This window comes from Homo sapiens, chromosome 5, assembly GCF_000001405.40.
Source record: "Homo sapiens chromosome 5, GRCh38.p14 Primary Assembly".
Taxonomy (NCBI): domain Eukaryota; kingdom Metazoa; phylum Chordata; class Mammalia; order Primates; family Hominidae; genus Homo; species Homo sapiens.
Window position 1 is genome coordinate 16,450,939 of NC_000005.10, and position 20,179 is coordinate 16,471,117.

At 41.3% G+C, this 20,179-nt stretch overlaps 1 protein-coding gene across 1 annotated transcript, besides 4 other annotated features; it reads right to left on the bottom strand.

The window, feature by feature from the left end:
• Positions 1-580: 580 nt before the first annotated feature.
• ZNF622 (zinc finger protein 622) lies at positions 581-14,862 on the bottom strand. The gene is made up of 6 exons (NM_033414.3): positions 14,103-14,862; positions 12,544-12,804; positions 12,170-12,332; positions 7,579-7,691; positions 2,075-2,218; positions 581-846 (listed from the first exon to the last, which is right to left on the bottom strand). Exons 1-6 carry the CDS (start codon positions 14,725-14,727, stop codon positions 719-721), a joined length of 1,434 nt encoding a protein of 477 aa, NP_219482.1. The 5' UTR covers positions 14,728-14,862; the 3' UTR covers positions 581-718.
• Positions 14,170-14,239: an enhancer, noted in NCBI's record as "active region_22421". NCBI's record gives its function as "activates an Ori minimal core promoter by ATAC-STARR-seq in GM12878 lymphoblastoid cells {active_cell/tissue: GM12878}" and the evidence as "EXISTENCE:reporter gene assay evidence [ECO:0000049][PMID:35858748]".
• Positions 16,047-16,269: a silencer, noted in NCBI's record as "fragment chr5:16467094-16467316 (GRCh37/hg19 assembly coordinates)". NCBI's record gives its function as "represses an EF-1alpha promoter that drives an FKBP-Casp9 reporter gene in an ReSE screen in phorbol 12-myristate 13-acetate-treated (for megakaryocytic differentiation) K562 erythroleukemia cells {active_cell/tissue: K562(+PMA)}" and the evidence as "EXISTENCE:reporter gene assay evidence [ECO:0000049][PMID:32094911]".
• Positions 16,522-16,581: an enhancer, noted in NCBI's record as "active region_22422". NCBI's record gives its function as "activates an Ori minimal core promoter by ATAC-STARR-seq in GM12878 lymphoblastoid cells {active_cell/tissue: GM12878}" and the evidence as "EXISTENCE:reporter gene assay evidence [ECO:0000049][PMID:35858748]".
• Positions 16,612-16,701: an enhancer, noted in NCBI's record as "active region_22423". NCBI's record gives its function as "activates an Ori minimal core promoter by ATAC-STARR-seq in GM12878 lymphoblastoid cells {active_cell/tissue: GM12878}" and the evidence as "EXISTENCE:reporter gene assay evidence [ECO:0000049][PMID:35858748]".

Sequence of the window (20,179 nt, forward strand, 5' to 3'; positions counted from 1 at the left end):
TTAGCTTCATTTTCACTATATCAGTGCCTTCCTCTAAGCCACCTAACCTGAGAATTTCTCCCAAGATTTGACCCTGAGGTAGTCTTTCTAAAATGATACCTAAGCATTTTACCTTTACTTTCCTCCTAGACTAACTGCACCACTGGAAACTGCATCAGACTACACAGTAGTCACTCTGTGCAGTCATGTTTAGAAATATAAAACCTTTACAGCAAGCTATTGATGTGCTTTTTAACTTAGCCTGGATTTAATGCAAGCGCCCAGAGATATTCAGTACCTCCTGTACCATGATACATTCCATGAGTGACATTCAACTTTGCCCCTACATAAGCCTTCAAGCCCCCTTACATAGGTCCCAGTGCCATGACATGGTGAGTTACTCTCAAAGTTAAACTAAGTTTGGGGCACACAAGTCATTCCTGATTCCTCACATTACTCTGACAATCATAAATCATTTAAAGCTGAGGCGATGAAGCAACTGTCAGGCAGCAGTGCAAGTCCCAGGGTCCAGTAGACACAGGACTTACCTTGTGAAAACATAACCTTTCAACACTATTCAAAAACGACATCTGAAAACTCATATGGTTCTAACTTTTATTATTAGGTCAGAACGAATGAAGTAGCAGCAAAAGGGTCTCTCCTATGATCTGTCTTTCACTGGTCCTCAGGGCAAGGAGGAAACTTGGGCAGGAGATGATTGCTCAATCCCAGCAGACTCTCAGAATCTCACTTGGACCCGAAAGTGCATCTGCTTGGTGGCATTGTTCTTCATTCCTGTCTTCAGCATCCATTTTGATTTCATCCTTTGGACATACTGCATGTCTCGCTCTCGCATAAGAGCCGCTCCTATGATTGGAAGGCAGTTAAGAAATTAGGCAAAGTTCTGTTATTTGTGATCAGAGAAAATCCAACCTTGGCAGAGAATTCAAAAGGTTAGTTTGGGGTAACTAGGTTCTTGTATTTAAAACAGAGTTGCTAACTTGGGGTCTCTAAGCCATGCGCCTCAGGGGTCTCTGTGGACTCCAGAATTGCATACCAGAACTTTTGTATATATACACTTATCTGGGATTAGTAGCTTTAGTTTTCATCATCTGGAAGAGTTTATAAGCCCAAAAGGTAAAGCCCCATTAATCAGAAAGGCAGAAGCTATATATCGAGTCAGACAATACTTCCTGATAAGAGTAAGATGAAGTCAAGTCTCTGCCAGATTCAAGTGGCCACACAGCTCACAAGCAGCCACAGTGAAGGAAACCACATATAAACACAGTGCCTTTTCAAATGGATTTTAGTTGCCTAGAGCTTCCCAGGCCATCAGAAGGCAGCCCGCCTCTTATTTTCTCCACAGTCCTCAGTTGGATAGATGCTTTCCCTGAAGATCTAAGGATATAACCAGCTTCATCCAGCAGACACATCAGAATAGATGTAAAGAGTACCATACTGATGAGGTTTCAAAACTCAACAATTGCAGTGGCATGCTTTACTCTTCTAACTTTTGCTAAATTTTCTATGGGAAAATTACAAAAAAGGGGACTGATAGCTAACCTCGACTATGGGCATGCACTATATCACACATGCATGACATTCAACCCACTCAACTCTAAGAGGTAGGTCTTATTACTATCATCTCTGTTTTATAAATGAGGAAACAGAAGCTTATATTAATTAAATTACTCATGTTCATCATATAAGAACCTCTAAGTACATCACATAAGTCACGTCTGACTCCACAGCTCAAGCTATTAACCACTAGGATACTATCTAATTCCTCTGCATAACCTCCAGGATAATTTCAACCTTTGGTGATTACTAAATAATTCTTTTTGTAACTATTATCTTCTGAAAAAGTTAATGGTATATAAAATCACTGTGCCAGGAATATGAAATTTCTAAGTCATAGCACTTTGGGCTTATTGCCTTAAACATATCAAGTGGTAATGGAAGTCCCTGGAGCCAAGACGTTACGTTTCCCCTAGAGAGAATCCACATGGACAACATAAATGGAAACAACTTTCCCCAGACCCCTTCTAGAAATACAAGTTCTCAGACTGGTCTGTAGTTGTAAAGATCAATGTACCTGTGCTGCCAGTCCATCCCAGGGCTCTGTACTGCTGAAGTACTCGGCCCACGGCCTTCCGATTTTTGGCAACTGCCACAGCTCTTGACAAGCCAAATCGCTGTTTGTAGTATCTCATCAAGGAGCGATGACCCACTCTGGCACCTGTTTTTCAAAAGAGCAATACTGAAACACTGAGTTGGATAGTTTTTTCAAGGCAGAGCTATAAAGCAAGGGCTTTCCAAATCAGATCTTTTAGTATATCTAGATGGAAAATCGATGTACCAGAAGAAACAGTTGTTCTATCTACTAAAGACAGATGAAGCAGCATGTAAAATAAAAATAAAAAGTGAAAGAAAGCAAGCATGCAACAAAAAGAAAACCAAACAATAGATTTTTTAAAAAGAAAATGACAAGTCACTGTTAAGTGAAAAACTTAGCATTGTGTACTTACTTGCATACAATATGCCTCCCCAAAAATTCACATAGAAACCCCTACTAATACAGATAATAGGGGCCTAGGAGATAAGAGATTTTTAGCGTTTTATATATATAAATAAATAAAAATTATATATATATATATATATATATATATATATATATATATATATGAAGAAGATTAAGCACAGAGAGCAGTTCTGATGTTTGGGACTACAAGCCACAGTCAGGATCTAAAATAGAAATCAATCCACCTTTCCTTTGCTTAAACTCTCTATTGCAGTGATTCTCCAATGGGGATTTTATCCAGCAAGGGACATTGGGCACTGACTGAACACATTTTTGGTTGTTACAGCTAGAGGGGTACTACTGGCACCTAGTGGGTAGAGGCCAGAGATGCTATTAAACATCTTTACATGCACAGGACAGCCCCCCATAACAAAGAATTATTCAGTCCAAAATGTCAATAGTGCCAAGGCTGAGTAACCCTGACCTATTGCTTCCTAAATGATGGAAATCACCTGGTGAATATGAATTTTAAAAGGTGATTAAGTTGAATTCTGTCTATAGCTTTTGCTTATTTAGTAGGATCTGGTAAAACTATGTGAGTCAATCATGCTTTCAGAAATGAATTTCTAAATTTAATTTTCAAAGTATGCTGATGTTATTACAACACGATTGTATATCTCATTATCTCATAGGCCCACTAACTTGTAACAGAGTGAGAAAAAAGAAAATAGACTCTGAATATTTCAAATAAAAAAACTATGGGACAGGGCCGGGTGCGGTGGCTCACGCCTGTAATCCCAGCACTTTGGGAGTCCTAGGTGGACGGATCACGAGGTCAGGAGATCGAGACCATCCTGGCTAACACGGTGAAACCCCATCTCTACTAAAAGCACAAAAAAATTAGCCGGGCGTGGTGGTGGGCACCTGTAGTCCCAGCTACTCGGGAGGCTGAGGCAGGAGAATGGTGTGAACCCGGGAGGCGGAGCTTGCGGTGAGCCAAGATCATACCACTGCACTCCAGCCTGGGCAACACAGCAAGACTCCGTCTCCAAAAAAAAAAAAAAAAAAAAAACTATGGGACAAAGGTATTGGCCACCAATTGGAAATTCTGTAGCTGGAATAATAAAAACCTGAGGTAAGTAAAGATATCTACTGGAGGAACAATTCAAGGTTCTTATTTAAGGGTGAGGCACATCTGATATATTAATCTAGGGGTGGCAAACTACAGCCAGAGAACCAAATCTGGCCAACCGCCTGTTTTGGTTTGTTTTACTGCCACACAGCCACGCTCAACTGTGTAGGTATTATCTCTCGATGCTTTGGTGCTTGCTACAACAGCAGAGGTGGGAAGCTGCTGCAGAGACAGAATTGCACACAAAGCCTAAACGATCACCTCTGGCCCTTTCTAGGGAAAATGTCCCAACCCATGTGTCATAAGTTCAAGGGAGATGACCTGAAGGGGGCTGGGTTTAGAGATGACTAATTCCAGGCTCCCTCAGAGCAGTGGCTCTCCAAAGGTGGTCATCAGCATTGCAAAGCCAGTGTCATCAGCATTACCTAAAAGCTTACTAAATACACACTATCCTTTCACAAGAATATTAATTAGGACAAAAGTAATCAAATATCTTCCCAGACAGACATAACCATGCAGATATTTAACAACAGCATATACATAAGGCACGAAAAAGCCATTTCCACTGAAAATGAATAAAGGATAGTTGGCTAGGTAGAACCCTGTGTACGGTTTCCAGGAAAGATTTATATTTACCTAGGTAAAGCCATTTCTTTCAGAATCTTTTGTGTAAAAAGACCATGAACCAGATACTATAAATATTGTGGAAGTCTGTATTTGCTTTTAGGATCCAGACTTTCAATTTGCATAAGAAAATTATTTTGGTTATTTTAAGTCCCTATACCTGCCAAAATAACTGGAAAATAATTTGCTTGATACACAGATATGGAAAAGTAGTTACTTTCAGTTGCTTGTTTTATCATCATACTCAAGAGATGACAAAAAGAAGCTTTCGATTCAAAGACATGGTCTTTGGATACTAGTGTGGATAAAAACATTTTCCCTAAACCTGACTGTTTTGACAGCATAAGAGTTAACAAAGCTCTTAGACCACAGGAAATAGGTGAGATGTAGTTGATGGATAAAACACAAGCTTAAATGGAGGGTCTACAGGAAATTCCAGCATTGTTCACTGTGATGTTCTATTTGTAACGTTAGGTCTGGACGCTCCAGGTTTGCAAGGTGATAATGTTGGTCATTAGTACATAAGAATTCAATATACTTATATTCTTAAGCAACATGTGGAAACACATCCTACAGCACGTTGGCCTTTTAAAGCGTCTTTGAAATGGCTTCATTACTCAATGCCAAGGTTTCCAACAGCTGGTAAGAAGGAACTGAAAATAGCATTCAGAGCTCCCCCTACCCTGTGCCAATGACAGTGACCACCTGATATTAGCACCACGTATGATGGGCTAAGGACAGCTACACTTGAAGGCCCTCATCAAGGAAAAGTATTTTCTAGAACACAGGGTGACTGCCCAATAAATAAGGGATTGGTTATGTCTAAGTCATGGTGAAGCATGCGACCTGTCCATCTAGCTTTTGACACAGCAGTAGCCACTTATAGACCATCCACTCCTTTTTTTCTTTTTTTGTTTTTAGGAGACAGCATATTGTTCTATCACCCAGGCTGGAGTGCAGTGGCGTGATCATGACTCACTGCAGCCTTGTGACTCTTGACTTCCTGGGCTCAAGTGATCCTCCTGCCTTAGCTGAGACTATAGGCACACACCATCACACCAGGCTAATGTCCACTCCTTCTTAACAAACGGCCTTACAATTTCTGACATCCAATTGAATGGGCCTTTCATACCAACTTACTCCAAAAGAGCTGAAGAGCAACGAAGGAAACCCAAAAAAACCTTGCCAGACCACAATCTTCAAAATAAATGCTCACAGTGCCCTCTAGTGGATACTTTTTGTCATTAGCTTTGAGATAGCCTGCTTGATTTTACTGAAGTCCAATCTGAGTAACTAGATTTAGTGTCCCAGCAGCAGGGGAGAGACTCTTGTTACCCAGTAAATGGACAGAAGATGAGTTCAGGAAGCCTTCCCAGAGGGTTGAATCTAAATAAGTTGAATCTTACAAGAAAAGTAGGAATAAAAGAGGCACCACACATGTAAACACCCAGAGGAAGAGAACTGTATGTGGGTGGGGTAGAGGAATAGCACTACACACCTGAGGGACCAGAAGCGAGAGAAACTCAAAGTTACCCTAAAGGCAATGGCTCCCAGTGGAGGAACTACAGAGGGTAAAGAAAATCTACTGGTGTTTTAGAAAGAATGTTTTGGTGGTCATGTGGAAACCAGATTAGAGATGACCAGACAGGAGGGTATAATGGTGACACAGATAAATGAATACAAAAAAAAAAATACTCAAAAATACTCAAAAGACATTTAGGAGTTACTAAGCCATCTGGATGTGGGAGAGGAAGATCTCTCTAAGATCTTTCTAAGGCTAGCCAAAGCCAAAAATGGGCTTGGCTTTGGCGGTCAAAATGGGTATCTTTTTAGATACCTTAAAAAACTCAGTCACCCAGGACAAAGCTGAGGATTCTTTATTTTTTATAAGTTTCAAAAATTTAAAGTCTAGATGAAAACTTCTCTGAAACATCCTAGATTTCTTGAATAGATATGCTCACGTTATGCTAAGGTTTGTAATATATTGTGCTAAAGTAGATGCAAAATGAAGCAAACACTATAGTGATCCTACTACACGGCAGACACTGCTGTACTAGGATTGTCTTATTCAATTTACTTAAGGTCTATGGTTATCTGATTCTACCGTTTAAGAAGCAGAAGCTAAGGAGACAACAAGTCAAACATACAGTTCTGGAAAATAAGTTATTAAACATATTTCTGATGTTCTATATGGGTACTGTCACCAGAGAAAGACTAGAAAAGGTTCTCTGGGATTTAGGTTTTACCACTGTGTATTAGATAGGCCATAATAATATATTGCATTATAACCTTCTTATCACTGTAGAAAGAACTGTCATCTTCAAAATAGGTTCTGCCTGACCTTTCCTCCTATTGCCACACTCTAAAGCTGCTCTTGGCCTTACAGGGTTATCATTCTGAGCTAAAGATAGTCATCTGTACCTAAGCAGTGACATTCTATGTGGAAAGCCATAAGACAAGGCTGCTTCATTGCGGACCTCTCCACCAGCAGGGTGTGTTGTTCCTGCCTGCACCGTTACTGCAAATCTCCCAAGGCAGTATACAGATATTGGAAAAAGGCTTTGCTGATTAGGCATGTGATCCTGGTAAGTTACTCAGCCTCTCTAAGCTTCATATGTAAAATGAAGATGCTGGAATCTAACTCACGTTGGCCTATAAAGACAAATACATCTGCCTGAATGTGCTAACTGCTCAGTAAATACCAGACATTAAGATCTTATTATCATCTCTACCTTTCCATCCCCTTTCATTTCTCAAACATGTCTTCTGTAGCTTCTCCTATTCTTATCAGTTAATCACGATTCTTTCTTCCTACACAATAAACAACCATGTATGCTTCTCACATTCATGGTTATTCTTCATCTTTTCATACCTCATGGTGGCTAAATTTCCACCATGAGTCAGATACACCCACACCAAACTACCATTTGGAAGTCTGAGCAACAAAAGGAAACAGGAATCAGTTCAAAGAATAACAGTAAGGTTACAATTAACAGGAGAAACCTAGACAGGACCAAAAAAGATAAATAAATAAAGAACAGAATAGAAAAGGTCTACATCTAAAAAAAAAAAAAAAAGAAATGCCTGATCAAACATTCTGAATCATAACCCAGAAATGAACAGAAACACTGATCAAATTTAAACAAAACAGGCAACTTAGAGCTGAGCAGCAACCTTCAGGGTTTACACCGTACATGAGAACCCAAACATATACTTTAAGCTTATGGTCTATTTCCCTCAGTATGGAAAGTAATTGATGGAGATATGCTTCTCCCTCAATCCCACTGGCATTAAGCTATTTATTTTTGACAAATGCACTTACCAGAAGGCAGAATCAATTCCATGGTTTCATCATCATATTCCAAGTTCTTTTCTGAGGGCAACTCCTCAGCCTTATTGGGGTCCTCCCCTTCCTTGTGATCTGGATAGCTACTCCTATAACAGAGAAATTGCACTAATAAATAGACTAATATCTCAAATTGAACTAAAAGACATAAACTCATTTGCAAATGTGGCAAACTTCCTAAGCTACCTAAAAGGGAGAGGGGAGGAAGCAGCTGTAGGAACTACCAGCTAAAAGGTTTTGGGAGAAAACAACTCGTTAGCATTTTGTCTGTAGTAGAAATGAGCAAATGACATATAACAGAATTCTATTTGTTTTTCCCTAGAAAGGCTGTCTAACAGAGAAGAAGGAGAATGTACAGCTGGACATGCAGCTATACTCAATTTAACCACTATAAAAACAAATTATAGAACAGTGCTGTCCAACAGAACTCTGTGATGACAGAAAACGTTCTATCAATATGTCTTTGTGTCTGATACAGTAACTGCAATCACATGAGCTTTCCAGCACAGAACTTTGAAATGCAGGTAGTCTGACTGAAGAACTGAATGTTTAAATTTTTAATTAAACTTCCAATTTATTTAAATAGCTATATGGGTATACCCAGTAATTACTATATTGGACAGTGCAGTTCCACAAGAATCTCTATATTCCTAAAAATGTTGACAAAGGCTATTCATAGATACACATGAAAAAATAATTGGAAAAGTGTACATTAAATTATTAACAGTAAACCAGACAACCTAATAAGAAAATAGACAAAATGCTTGATCAGATACCTCACAAAAAGATATCCAAATGGCCAATGAATATGCAAAAAGCCTCTTGATTGCAGTAATCATCATCAGGGAGATGCAAATTAAAGCCACTACACACCCACCAAAGTTGCTAAGATGAAAAACTCTCCCTCACTACAAGTGGGAGTATAGAAAACCACTTTGGAAACCAATTTGACAGTATTTTCTAAAATGGAACATATGTATATCCTCTGGCCCAACTCCTACATATACACACAACAGATAACCTATAAACATTTGCCAAAGACACATTAGAATGATGTGGCAGCATTGTTTGTAATAGCCCCAAATTAGAAACCACTCAAATGTGTATCAACAGTAGACTAGATGTTGTGGAGCACTGAACAGAACACTCTGTAACAGTAAGAACTCTCCACAGCTATATAAAATAGTATGAATGGGTCTCCCAAACATAAAGTTGAGCAAAAGAAGCCACACCCAAGAGTACATTCTTTGTGATTCCATTTATATAAAGTATAAAAACAGGCAAAACCAATCTATGCAGCTATAAGTCAGAATAGTAGTTACTCTTGGAGAAAGGAGGGGTAGTTTCTGGAAGGACACACAAGGGAAATGTCAGGGTATTATTAACATGCTGTTTCTTGATCTAGGTGCTAGTTATATTTAAAATTTCACTACACTGAATCATGATATCACAAGTACGGTCATCCCTTGGTATCCATGGGGGATTGCTTCCAGGACCTCCCTAGGATACTAAAATTTGCAGATGTTCCAGTCCCTGATATAAAATGGTATAACATTTGCATATAACCTAAATCATTGCATACTTTAAATCATCTCTATATTACTTATTAATACCTAATACATTGTAAATGCTATGTAAATAGTTGTTACACAGTACTAAACGTTTAGGGAATAATGACAAGAAAAATAAGTCTGTGCATGTTCAGTATGGACAAAATTTTTTTCGAATACTTTAGTTTGGATGCACAGATGGAGAATCTATGACTACAGAGGGCCAGCTGTATACATATATGCACTTTTCTGTAAGTTTATTCTTCAATAAAAAGTTTCAGGTCCAAAATAAGTAAACAAGTTACCTTGTGAAGGGGAGTGAAATTTAGGTAATTTGTCATTTTTTAGCTGAGTGAATCCACATAAAATGCTTATTAGAACAGTGTCTGGCAGGTAAGCACTCCATAAACACTAGCTTTGTATGTAAAGGCTTTCTATTTTCCAAGTTTTCTTTATTAAGCATTATCAACTTTTTTTTTTTTCCTTTTTTTCCCCTAGAGACAGGGTCTCACTGTGTCACCTAGGCTGGCCTGAAACTCCTGGCCTCTGGTGATCCTCTTACCTCAGCCTCCTAAGCAGCTGGTACTACAGGCTCATGCCACCACACTTGGCTGACTTTTATTTTTTTAAGACAAACAAATCATTTAATATTCATTTTTAGGAAGAAAAGTTCATATAATTTCTCATTTCTAGGCACCAACAGAATAAAACTGTAAATGGAATGAAAAATACATCATCTGGACTAAGGGAGAACCGTTTCCATCAGTTACATATTTTAATTCAAACTAACGGTTTAAGCAACACCCAGTAAAGAACAAGAGTAACAACAACAAAAGGCTAGGGCTTGAAGCTTAGATTCTAGAAGGAGGAGACAATAAATAATATACAATACACACAATGGCAGTAGGGGATATAAGGAAAAATAAAACAGGATAAAAAGGATTGGGTAGGTGTTATTTTATGGAAGGTGGTCAAAAAAGGCCACACTGAGAAGGTGAAATTTATGTCAAGGCCTGCAAGAAGTGAGGGACAAGTCAAGTGAATATCTAAGCGAATACTATAAACAAATACAGCAGCAAATGCAAAGGTCTTGAGAAACACACTTGATGCATTAGAGGAATAGTTAGGAATCCAGAGAGCAACTAATACAAAACCACAGAACCACAGATGCTCCACACTATGTGCAGGGCCTTGCAGGCCATTATACTTTGGCTTTTACTTTGAGTAAGATAGGTAGTCTTTGAAAGAATCTGAGCAGAGTTTGACCTCACTTAATGTTTTAAAAGGATCCCCCTAGTTACAGTTTTGAGAATAGAACATAGTGGGTAGTAAGGATGTAAATATGGAGACCAGGCAGCAGGAGGCTACTGTAGGAAGTCAGGCGAAAGATGATGGTGCCCTGGACCTGGGTAGTAGCCATAGAAGTAGTGAGAAGCAGTCAGCCTCTGAAGATAGATAGTGCAAAAGCAGATAAAGCAGAATTTGGTGATCGATTCTAATGTAAGCATGAAAGAAAATAGAAGAATAAAGGAAGACTGCATGGCATTTGGCTTAAGTAACTAGAAGGACAGAGATGCCATTTACTTACAGAGAGCAGACTAGGATGCATAGCAGGAGTTGATTTTGGACAGGTTAAGTTAATGATTCCTTTTGGACACAAGTAGAAATATCAAGGAGGCAGCTGGATATCTTCAGTTTACAGCTGAGGGGAAGGCTATACTAGAGATATAAATGTGGGGGTCACGGGCCTACAGAAGATATTGAAATCTATGAGACTGGGTAGGATTCTGAATATAACCACAGGATGAGAGACTGAGTGCTGGGCATTCCAAGCCTACTGCTGATGGCAGCTGCTTAACTATCCATGGTATTTGCTTTGACCACTCTGATTACAACATCAGTCAAAAGGTCATAAACACTGCTGTCTAAAAGGAAACTTGAGAGGGATAAATACTGAAAGAGGATGCTTCCCACCACCAGCAGACATTCATTGTCTTCTCTACTGCCACAGCCTCTAATCCTCCCCTCTACCTCCACCCAGTCATGTCCACCAACTGCAAGTCTCCAGCTGCAAAATGAGAAATCAGGGAGAAAATGCAAAAGGAAGACTTAAAAGACTGAGACTTTTCTGAACATGGTATCACTTGGTCTATGCATGCCTGGCATGGTAATTATACACATCTGCTTATCTCCTGTGCTAGCTCACAGGAATTTTGACAACTAGTTGTTCACAAGTACTTAACATACATTTGCTAAATGACATACAAAAAAATTCAAGATTCTAGTTAGGGCCGGGCATGGTATCTCACACCTGTAATCCCAGCACTTTGGGAGACTGAGGTGGGTGGATCACTTGGGTCTAGGAGTTCAAGACCAGCCTGGGTAACATGGCGAAACCCCATCTCTACAAAAAGTACAAAAATTAGCAGGGCATATTGGTGCACACTAGCTGCTGGGGAGGCTGTGGTGGGAGGATCATCTGAGCTCAGGGAAGCTGAGGCTGCAGTAGGCCATGATTGTGCCACTGTCCTCCAGCCTGGGTGACAGCAAAAATCTTTCTCAGAGAAAAAAAAAGATTCTAGTTAGGGGTGAACCACCAATGGGGTAATCTCACCATCAGATGCCTGGTTTGGGCCTGGTTTAGCAACTGTCTCAACTCCTTCAGGAGACAGCTGGTGATGCAAGGACTCTCCAGGAACCCAATATGTGAAACCTAATTTCTGTACCTCTGTTCAAGGGGTAACTGGCAAAACTGAACTCTTGATGTTTTAACCAGAACAAAAACAAAAACAAGTCAAACTTCAGTCTGGGTCTAAGGTCTTCTCTTCACTAGATGTGTTAAACTCTGTTAAACTGAGTTTCTCAACTACAAAGAAAGAACTACCTAATACAGAGGTGTTATAAGTGTTATTAAGGATATGTTGTACAGTGCCAAACATATCCAGCACTGGCACACCTAATAATCACTTCAAAGCAAATATGACCTCACTTTACTTCATATTACAAACTATGCTTACCTAAAATCATAGAAGTCTGCAAATTCCAAAGCAGCATCGCCATCTGTGAAGAGCTTACAGTGGCTTTTGTCATTCATATGTGCCTGTACAGCTTCTGTGGAGTAGAAGGACTTCCCTTTCTCGTTGCACCACAAGCAAATCTTGCCAACACCAACTTTCTCTCCTAGAAAAATAATTTAAGGAAAAAATATGAAAAAAGCTTTTTGCAACCAGATTAAATCTCACTATTTGTCACCAAAACTCAAAAATCATTCACAAAATAACCAAGCAATTATATCAAAGATTGATGAAAAATGCAAAACTAATGTTCCCTTGAGACCAGTCCCCCAATAATGTGATTATTTCCTCATTAAAAGGAAAACTATTGTACTTACCCAAGTATTTAATCAGTCCCTTAATATCTGAAAGATATTCTATATCAGGAATAAAGAAACTGTGGTCTTTGGTCATGTGAGCCACATTCTTCATCAGCGAGCTGGAATGATGGGAACAAAATAAGCAGTCCGTGATAGGGATGGCACCAAGGGGTGGGCCTTCCTCAGCCTCTTCCTCCTCTGCATCCTGCTCCACCACATCGTCCATTGCTTCAGTATCCTCACATTCCAATTCTTCATCAGAATCAATATCTTCCCAATCTGCAAGCCAGAATTTTGAAATATAAAGTTTAAGAAAAGTAGTAGCAAGCAAAGATATCACAAAAATTCACGAGGTGATACAGTCCTATATTTGGAGAAACAGCCACACCCCAACTCCCAAGGACAACTCCTCTTTCAAGATCTCAATTTTAGCTATTTGTTTACCACAGACTCATCTGAATGGCCATGAAACTCCTTAGTCTTTCTTTTCCAGGAAACAGGAATCTTTTCTTTGTTTCTTTCCTATGCCTTACAGCACCTAGCCCAGTGCTGAAAATATAGTTAGGAAGTCTCCTACCTGCCTGGATATTTTTATAAACTTCTAAAACAATGCCTCTATCTACTATTTCACAAAAGTACTATGGGGTGTGTGTATGTGCTGGTAGGGTGCTCTATGAACGGCTATGGTTTGAATGCATGTTTCCCTCCCAAAATTCAAATGTTGAAACTTAATCATCAATGAAATGGCATTAAGAGGTGGGGCCTTTAGTGGGTGATTAGGTTAGGCAAGCACTAATCCTGAATAAATGGATTAGTGCGAGGGAACTGGCTAGCCCCTTTTTTGCCTTCTGCTTCTTCCACCACATGATGACACCATGAGAAAACTTCATCTATAGAACAGGCCCTCACCAGACACTGACTCTGCCAGCACCTTGATTTTGGACTTCCCAATTTCCAGAACTATGGGAAAATACATTTATGTTGTTCATAAATCACCCAGTCTCTAGTACTTCCTTATAGCAGAGTGGACAGACTAAGACATGAACACCTACACCAGCACTGTTAATAGGATGTGGGATGAGGGAAGTAAGGAATAAATAGCTCATAAAGGCAAAGAGGTGAGGGTGCTGGCTCCAGCTCCAAATTTCTGGCTGAGTTGGTTTTGATCCCCTCATTCTGTTTTACTCAACTAAATTAAGTGCAAAACCATCATAACTGGAAACCCACTAGAATCGCAAATTACACGGCAGCTGGTATGACGATAGCATGTCCTCCTGTGCATATGTTAAAAGCCTCTTCATCCAAAACACAGAAGGCATCAATTCATTCTCCAAATATGCATTAAGCACTTCTTTTTCCAGACAAGGTTTTAGGCCTTGGAGAATGAATTGAGTGAACTAAACAGCCAAACCTGCTGGCCAGATAAGGCACTTCAGAAAGCGTCTAAACCACCTTCCCTCATCATTTTTACTTAAAAGCTCTCAAACACACACACACACCCATCTCGAGTATAAATCTGGAAACTTAAGGGTGGGCCAAGTTCCTCTTTACCCTCCCCGCCCAGACAGGGCCATCACCGTCTCCATCCAGGTCCTCTTCCTCCTCCTCGCTGTCCTCCTCCTGCTGCTTTGCCAACTTCTTCGCCTGCTGTTCAAACCACTGGAGCCGGGGTGGTTTCTCACTCGGGTCTCGGTCGTGGGTCCCACGGCCACCAGTACCCACGGCCACGACATTCCTGGCCTCCTTTGCAGGCGCTGGGGGCGCCTTCTTGGGAGACATGGACGGCTGGGCCTTGATGGCCTGCTGGATGGCCGCGTTCATGGCATCCTTGTCCACACTGTCCACGCCCAGTCCTTTCTCCAAGTTCTTTTCATTCATCATCTCCACTTTCCGATTCACTGCCTGCACGGCCTTCTTCTCCAGCTCAACGTGACGCCGGGACTTGAGGTGGTTCTCGTAGGCGTTGAAAGAGGCAAACTTCTTACTGCAAACGGTGCAGTAGGTGGCCGAGCCCTTGCTCTCCTCCTCCGCGACGGCCCGCTGCGCCCGCACTCGCTCCTGGAAGCCCTCGGCGGTCACTGGGGCCATGCTGGCCACCTTCCGCCGCAGGTTGTAGCGGTGCCAGTCCGTCTTATAGTGGGCCCGCTGCATGTCCGCGTCGCGGAACGCCACCCGGCAAGTTATGCAGGTGTACGTCGCCATTGCCAGGCGAGAAATAAGAACCGACCAAGCCAAACACCTGGTGATCAGCGCCGTGGCCCCACAAGACCCTCAGACCTTAACCCGCCTCAGCAGCCAGGAAGAGCCACTCGACACGCCGACTTCCTGATTGTCACTGAGGAAACTTCCGGCACACGTCGGAAGTTATTCACAACTGGACAGGAAACCCGCCTCTCAGGCTGTGGCCACGCCTCCGCCGCCGTGAGGCCCAGGAAGCCGAGGGAACGCTGTGGCTGAAAGGGACCTGGGTCCGCTCAGTCAGCCCGAGGTGGCTGTTGATTGAGGGAGGTCGCGCCCTCCCAGTTACCTTCCCTGGTGGTTGTGCCGCTCGGTGTGACGCGGTCAAGGGGACGGCTACGCGAGAATGGGGGAGTGGGGCGCCCGAGGCTGCTCCTGGGCCCTGGGAAGCCCCCGATTAATGAATGGTCGGGTCAGCGACGCGAGGGTCGGGGTTTCTCTGAGGACCGCGCGCTGCACCTGCGGAGCCGGGTGAATGGATGTCGCGAAGGCAAGGGCTGCCCTTACCCCTCGGGGCCGACCTCGGAGCCCTCGCCCGTGGTTGCAACGCTTTCCCGGGAAACCGGAGAAGCCAGGCCGGGGGCTCGGCCTTTCTGAGGCGGCCCTTCCGGCGGAGGACACCGGCGGAATTTGAGTGCACAGAGTGCGCGAGAGGAGCTCCCTGTAGACACACAGTCCAAGCCACGTAGGTAATTCTAATAGCAGCCACATTTTTAAAGAGTAAAGAGAAATCGGTGAAACTGCTTTTAATGTGTTTAATTTAGCCCATCCTGTCATTTCAGCATGTAATCAGTCTAAAAGAATTAATTAGATCTTTTACGCTCTGTCGTTGGTTCTAAGTCTTGGAAATCCAGTGTGTGTTTTAGAGTTAACAGCCCATCTCAATTTGGACTAGACCCGTGCCAGGTGCCCAGTTGGCTGTGTACCCTCATGTATATAGGACAGCAAAGTTCTGTAGAAAAGAACTTCAGGCCAGGCGCGGTGGCTCACGCCCGTAATCCCAGCACTTTGCGAGGCCGAGGCGGGCGGATCATCTGAGGTCAGGGGTTCAAGACCAGCCTGGCCAACATGGCGAAACCCAGTCTCTGCTAAAAAATACAAAAATTAGTCCCGGCGCAGTGGCGCAGACCTGTAATCCCAGCTACTTGGGAGGTTGAGGCAGGAGAATCGCTTGAACCCGGGAGGCGGAGGTTGTGGTGAGCCGAGATCGCGCCACTGCACTCCAGCCTGGGCAACAGAGCAAGATTCCATCTCAAAAGAAAAAGAAAACATGAACTTCAAATGCTTGGGGAGGTCGTAGATTTCATCCACACAGCCTGGTTGAACCAGAGTCAGCCTTGTTAGAGTCGAATGTTGCATGCTCAGAATCCAGGCTGCCAAGAGAAAACCAAAAGAAGATGGCGCTTTAAAAAACCTTCCAGTGCCTTCCCTTGACTCAATCAAATTCAAACACCTTACTTTCTATTCTCCGAGGCTCTACCCCTCCCTCTGAGGTCCTGCCACACCCCCTTCTCTACCCTGCTCACCCTACTTGAGTCGCAATGACACATTTGATGTTCTTCTAACAAGCACTTTAGTTGGTACTAAGTCAGAAAGTCAGAAATCCATTACTCTTCTGCTTGGAACATCCTTTTGCTGGCTTGCTTCCTTATTTTTTGGATCTCTGCCCAAATGCCTTTGTAAGAGAGGCTTATCCAAATCCACTTACCAAAAATAGTGCCTACCTTCCTAAGTCCTTACCAGGCATAACTTTTCTCCAGTACTGTATTAGTTATCTACTACTCTGTATTAAATTACCCCCAAATTTAGCATCAAGCTTTATTTCAGTTTCTGTATGTCAGGTATTTGAGTGACTCAGCTGGGTGGTTCTGACTAAGATCTCCTAAGAGGTTGCAGTGAACATGCTGTCCAGGGCTAAAATCATCTGAAGATCTGACTGTATTTGACTGTGGCTGGAGAGTCTCCCTTAAAGATGGTTCATTTACATAGCTGATAGCAAGAGGTTTTGGTTCCTTGACAAGTAGGCCTCTCCATAGGGCTGCTTGAGTGCAGCAGAGAGCCACATGAAATTCATAGACCTAGCATTGGAAGTCACACAGTCGTTTCCACAATGTGTTGTTACTTTTGCAGGTCAGCCCTATTTAATGTGAGAAGGGTTAACATAAGGGCATGAATACCAGGAAGTGGGAAGTGGGGGGCAGGGTGGTTTTAGGGGATCATTGGGAGATCAGCTACCACTAGCATTTGTTGTCACTGATTTCCCAGGCTTAGCACTGGAAGTCCTGCATCCCAGGAAATCCCTCAATCCTGGGCAAACCAGGATGTCTAGTCACACTGCATGTTAGTCATCTGCGTCTAGATAGAACATAAGCTCCATGACAGCAAGCACTCCTTTGTTGTATACCCTAATGCTAGAACAGTGCCAGCAGATCAACTGTTCAGTATTTGTTAAACGAATCTTTTGCAGTGCAAAAGTTAAGTCAGATGGTGATTTTTATTTCTGAAAACTTATTTTGAGATTATCAGTATCTTTTAAAATAGCTGAGCCATCTGGATACTCACTTTGAGAAATGTAGCTAGTATTAGTTGTTAACTGGAATAAGCAAAGCAGAGTATATTTTCAAGCTTCCCTAAAAAGTAAAGCAGAAGATGGCTATAAAAGTAAAGAACTTCTGGTTTTACTTTTGCCTATTATCATTCTTATATGGCTCTTCCAGCATCTGTTCTTCAGGTCACTATTTCCTCCCTGCCTCCTCTAATCTATTTTCATGTTCCTCCTATTTCAGCATCATTGAACTCTCCAGTTTCTTTACTTTTCTTCTTTAAAGGGGTATTGTTTCCTCCGCCATACTAATTTTCCAATGTACTGTTCTTCTGCAGTCTCCAAGATAACCTTACTCTTTCCCCATATCCCCCTCTACAGTAAATACAGGTAATCAGTAATTTTCCTGTAGTATTTTTTTCATATGTCACTTTTTCTGTTCAAGAATAGTTGTCTGATGCCCATAAGATAAAGTTTAAATTCCATTTGTATCTTTCCTTTCCTGGCTTTCGTATCTCCCATAGTCTCTCCCACATGCTATGTATTTTTTGTAATATTCTACTGGTTCTAAATTAAGGCATTCCTACCCTCACGAAGTTTTTTTTTTTTTTTTTTTTTTTTACTTCTTAGGGATGATAAAAAAATATTTACAGTTAAATAGCTGGATCTAGTACAATGAAATATAAAGAAAGGGCTAATGAGTATTTAGGATAGAGAAATCTCATGCCATTAGAGAGATCAGAAAAGTTTTCATTAAGGAGTAGACATTTCAGATGGGTCCTAAAGGAGAAGATTGAGGACTCTGCAAGTGGAAAGGGAGGTGGAACAGGTAGAAGAAATACTGTGGAGGGAGGAAAATCAAGGACATATTTAAGAAGAATGTGTCTACGTTGGATGAAGCTTAGGATACAAACAAGGGAAAATGAGACTAGAGAGAGCCACGATATCATTGGCAAAAGACTTGGATTGTTGTGTTTACTGCTCATGCTTCATTTGATGGAGAGTCACAGAATGTTTCAGCTTGTATGGCACCAGGAATAGAAGTGGGCCTTGAGTAAATCCAGCAGCAGTATCTGGAACTAATTGGAGAAAAAAAAAAAGAGTAGGTCTACAGCCAATACCTCCTTGGTAAATGCAAGGGACTGTTGAGTAAAATCTCTGCGGCACATCCTCAGCACTCTTAATGTGTCTAACCTCTGCTGACAGTACTGCTATCAAAAAAAATTACCAAATTGATCACTCTGAAGAATTTAAACTAAGATCACTGATATAGTTTGGATGTTGTCCCCACTTATATCTCATGTCAAAATGTAATCCCAGTGTTGGAAGCAGGGCCTGGTGGGAGTGATTGGATCATGGGTGTGAATTTCTCAGCACCATCCCCTTGGTGCTGTTCCAGCGACAGTGAGTTCTCTCAAGGTGTGGTTGTTTAAAAGTGTGTATCACCTCCTGCCTTGCTCTCTCTTGCCTCTGATTTTGGCATGTGAACTGCCTGCGCCCACTTTGCCTTCTGCCTTGAGTAAAAGCTCCCTGAGGTCTCTCCAGAAGCAGAGGCCACCATGCTTCTGTACAGCCTGCAGAACCCTGAACCAATTAAATCTCATATAAATTACCCAGTCTCAGGTATTTCTTTATAGCAATGTGAGGATGGACTAATACAACCATCTATGACAAAGAAAATTAATTTGAAAGTATTGAAAATTATAATTCCTTCTGTATGTCATGACATAGCCCTTAAAATAGTTCACGTAATTCTTAAACTACTAGAGTTATGGTGCACACTGTAACAGTGACAGTACACACAGTAACATGGTTCTTGTTTCAGTCTTGGAAGACTTTGGGATATTCATCCTTGATAATTACATAATTTAAAATAAAAGCTAATAAAGTTGCCTTCAAGTCATTTTGTATGCTGATCACAATATTCTCTGTGACAAGTTTACTGCTGTTCACATTCCTATATCGCAGTGGCACCTTGGTTTTTAAAAGGAAGGCTATGAAGGGGATTGGGTTGGTTGAGGGTAACCTTTGGTGGGGGTAACAAATACTGAAATATAAAAACTAATGTACACTTATCACATGGTTTACAGTTTCTGTGAATTCTGTGTTTATGAAAACGTTAAGTCCTGTGAGAGATTTTCAATCCCCAATTGTTTTGGCTGTCTACATATGCAAAGTCTTGTCTTAATTTAATAAGGAATTGAAATTTACAGCAAAGCCTGTTTACACAGCATTTAAAACAGTATAGATCAACTGGTTTCTGCAGTCTTTGAAAAAAGAAAAAAACTAAAATAAAATCAGTATTTAATACTTAGTGAAATTCTGTTAAACTATTTAAAATTATGATCGCTGTTAATGTATCAAAAAGCAAAACCAATATACTAGTATGATACATTAGAAAGAGAATAGGCTTTGGGGTCAGGCTGGCTTTTTCCCTGACTAGCTATGTAACCTTGGACAATTTATCTACCCTGTTCTTTGGCAAAATGTTCCTAATACCACTTAACTGTAGAGTCAGGAGGGTTAAACAGGATCCTGTTTTCTATGTCTTAGACCAAGAGTTTGCACACTTTTCCTGTAAAGGGCCAGAAAGTAAATATGCTTTGTAGGCCTGGGTTCTCTGTCACAGCTAATCAGCTTCATTGTTATAGCATAAAAGCAGCCATAGACAATACATAAACAAATGAGCCTAGCTGTGTTCTAATTAAACATTATTCACAGATGCTGAAAATTGATTTTCATTTATTCTCATGTCACAAAATAGTCTTCTGATTTTTTTCAACTACTTCAAGATGTAAAAAATCGTTCTTAGCTTGCAGCCCCTACAAAAACAGGTAGCAGGCCAGATTTGGCCCATGGGCCATAGTCTGCCAA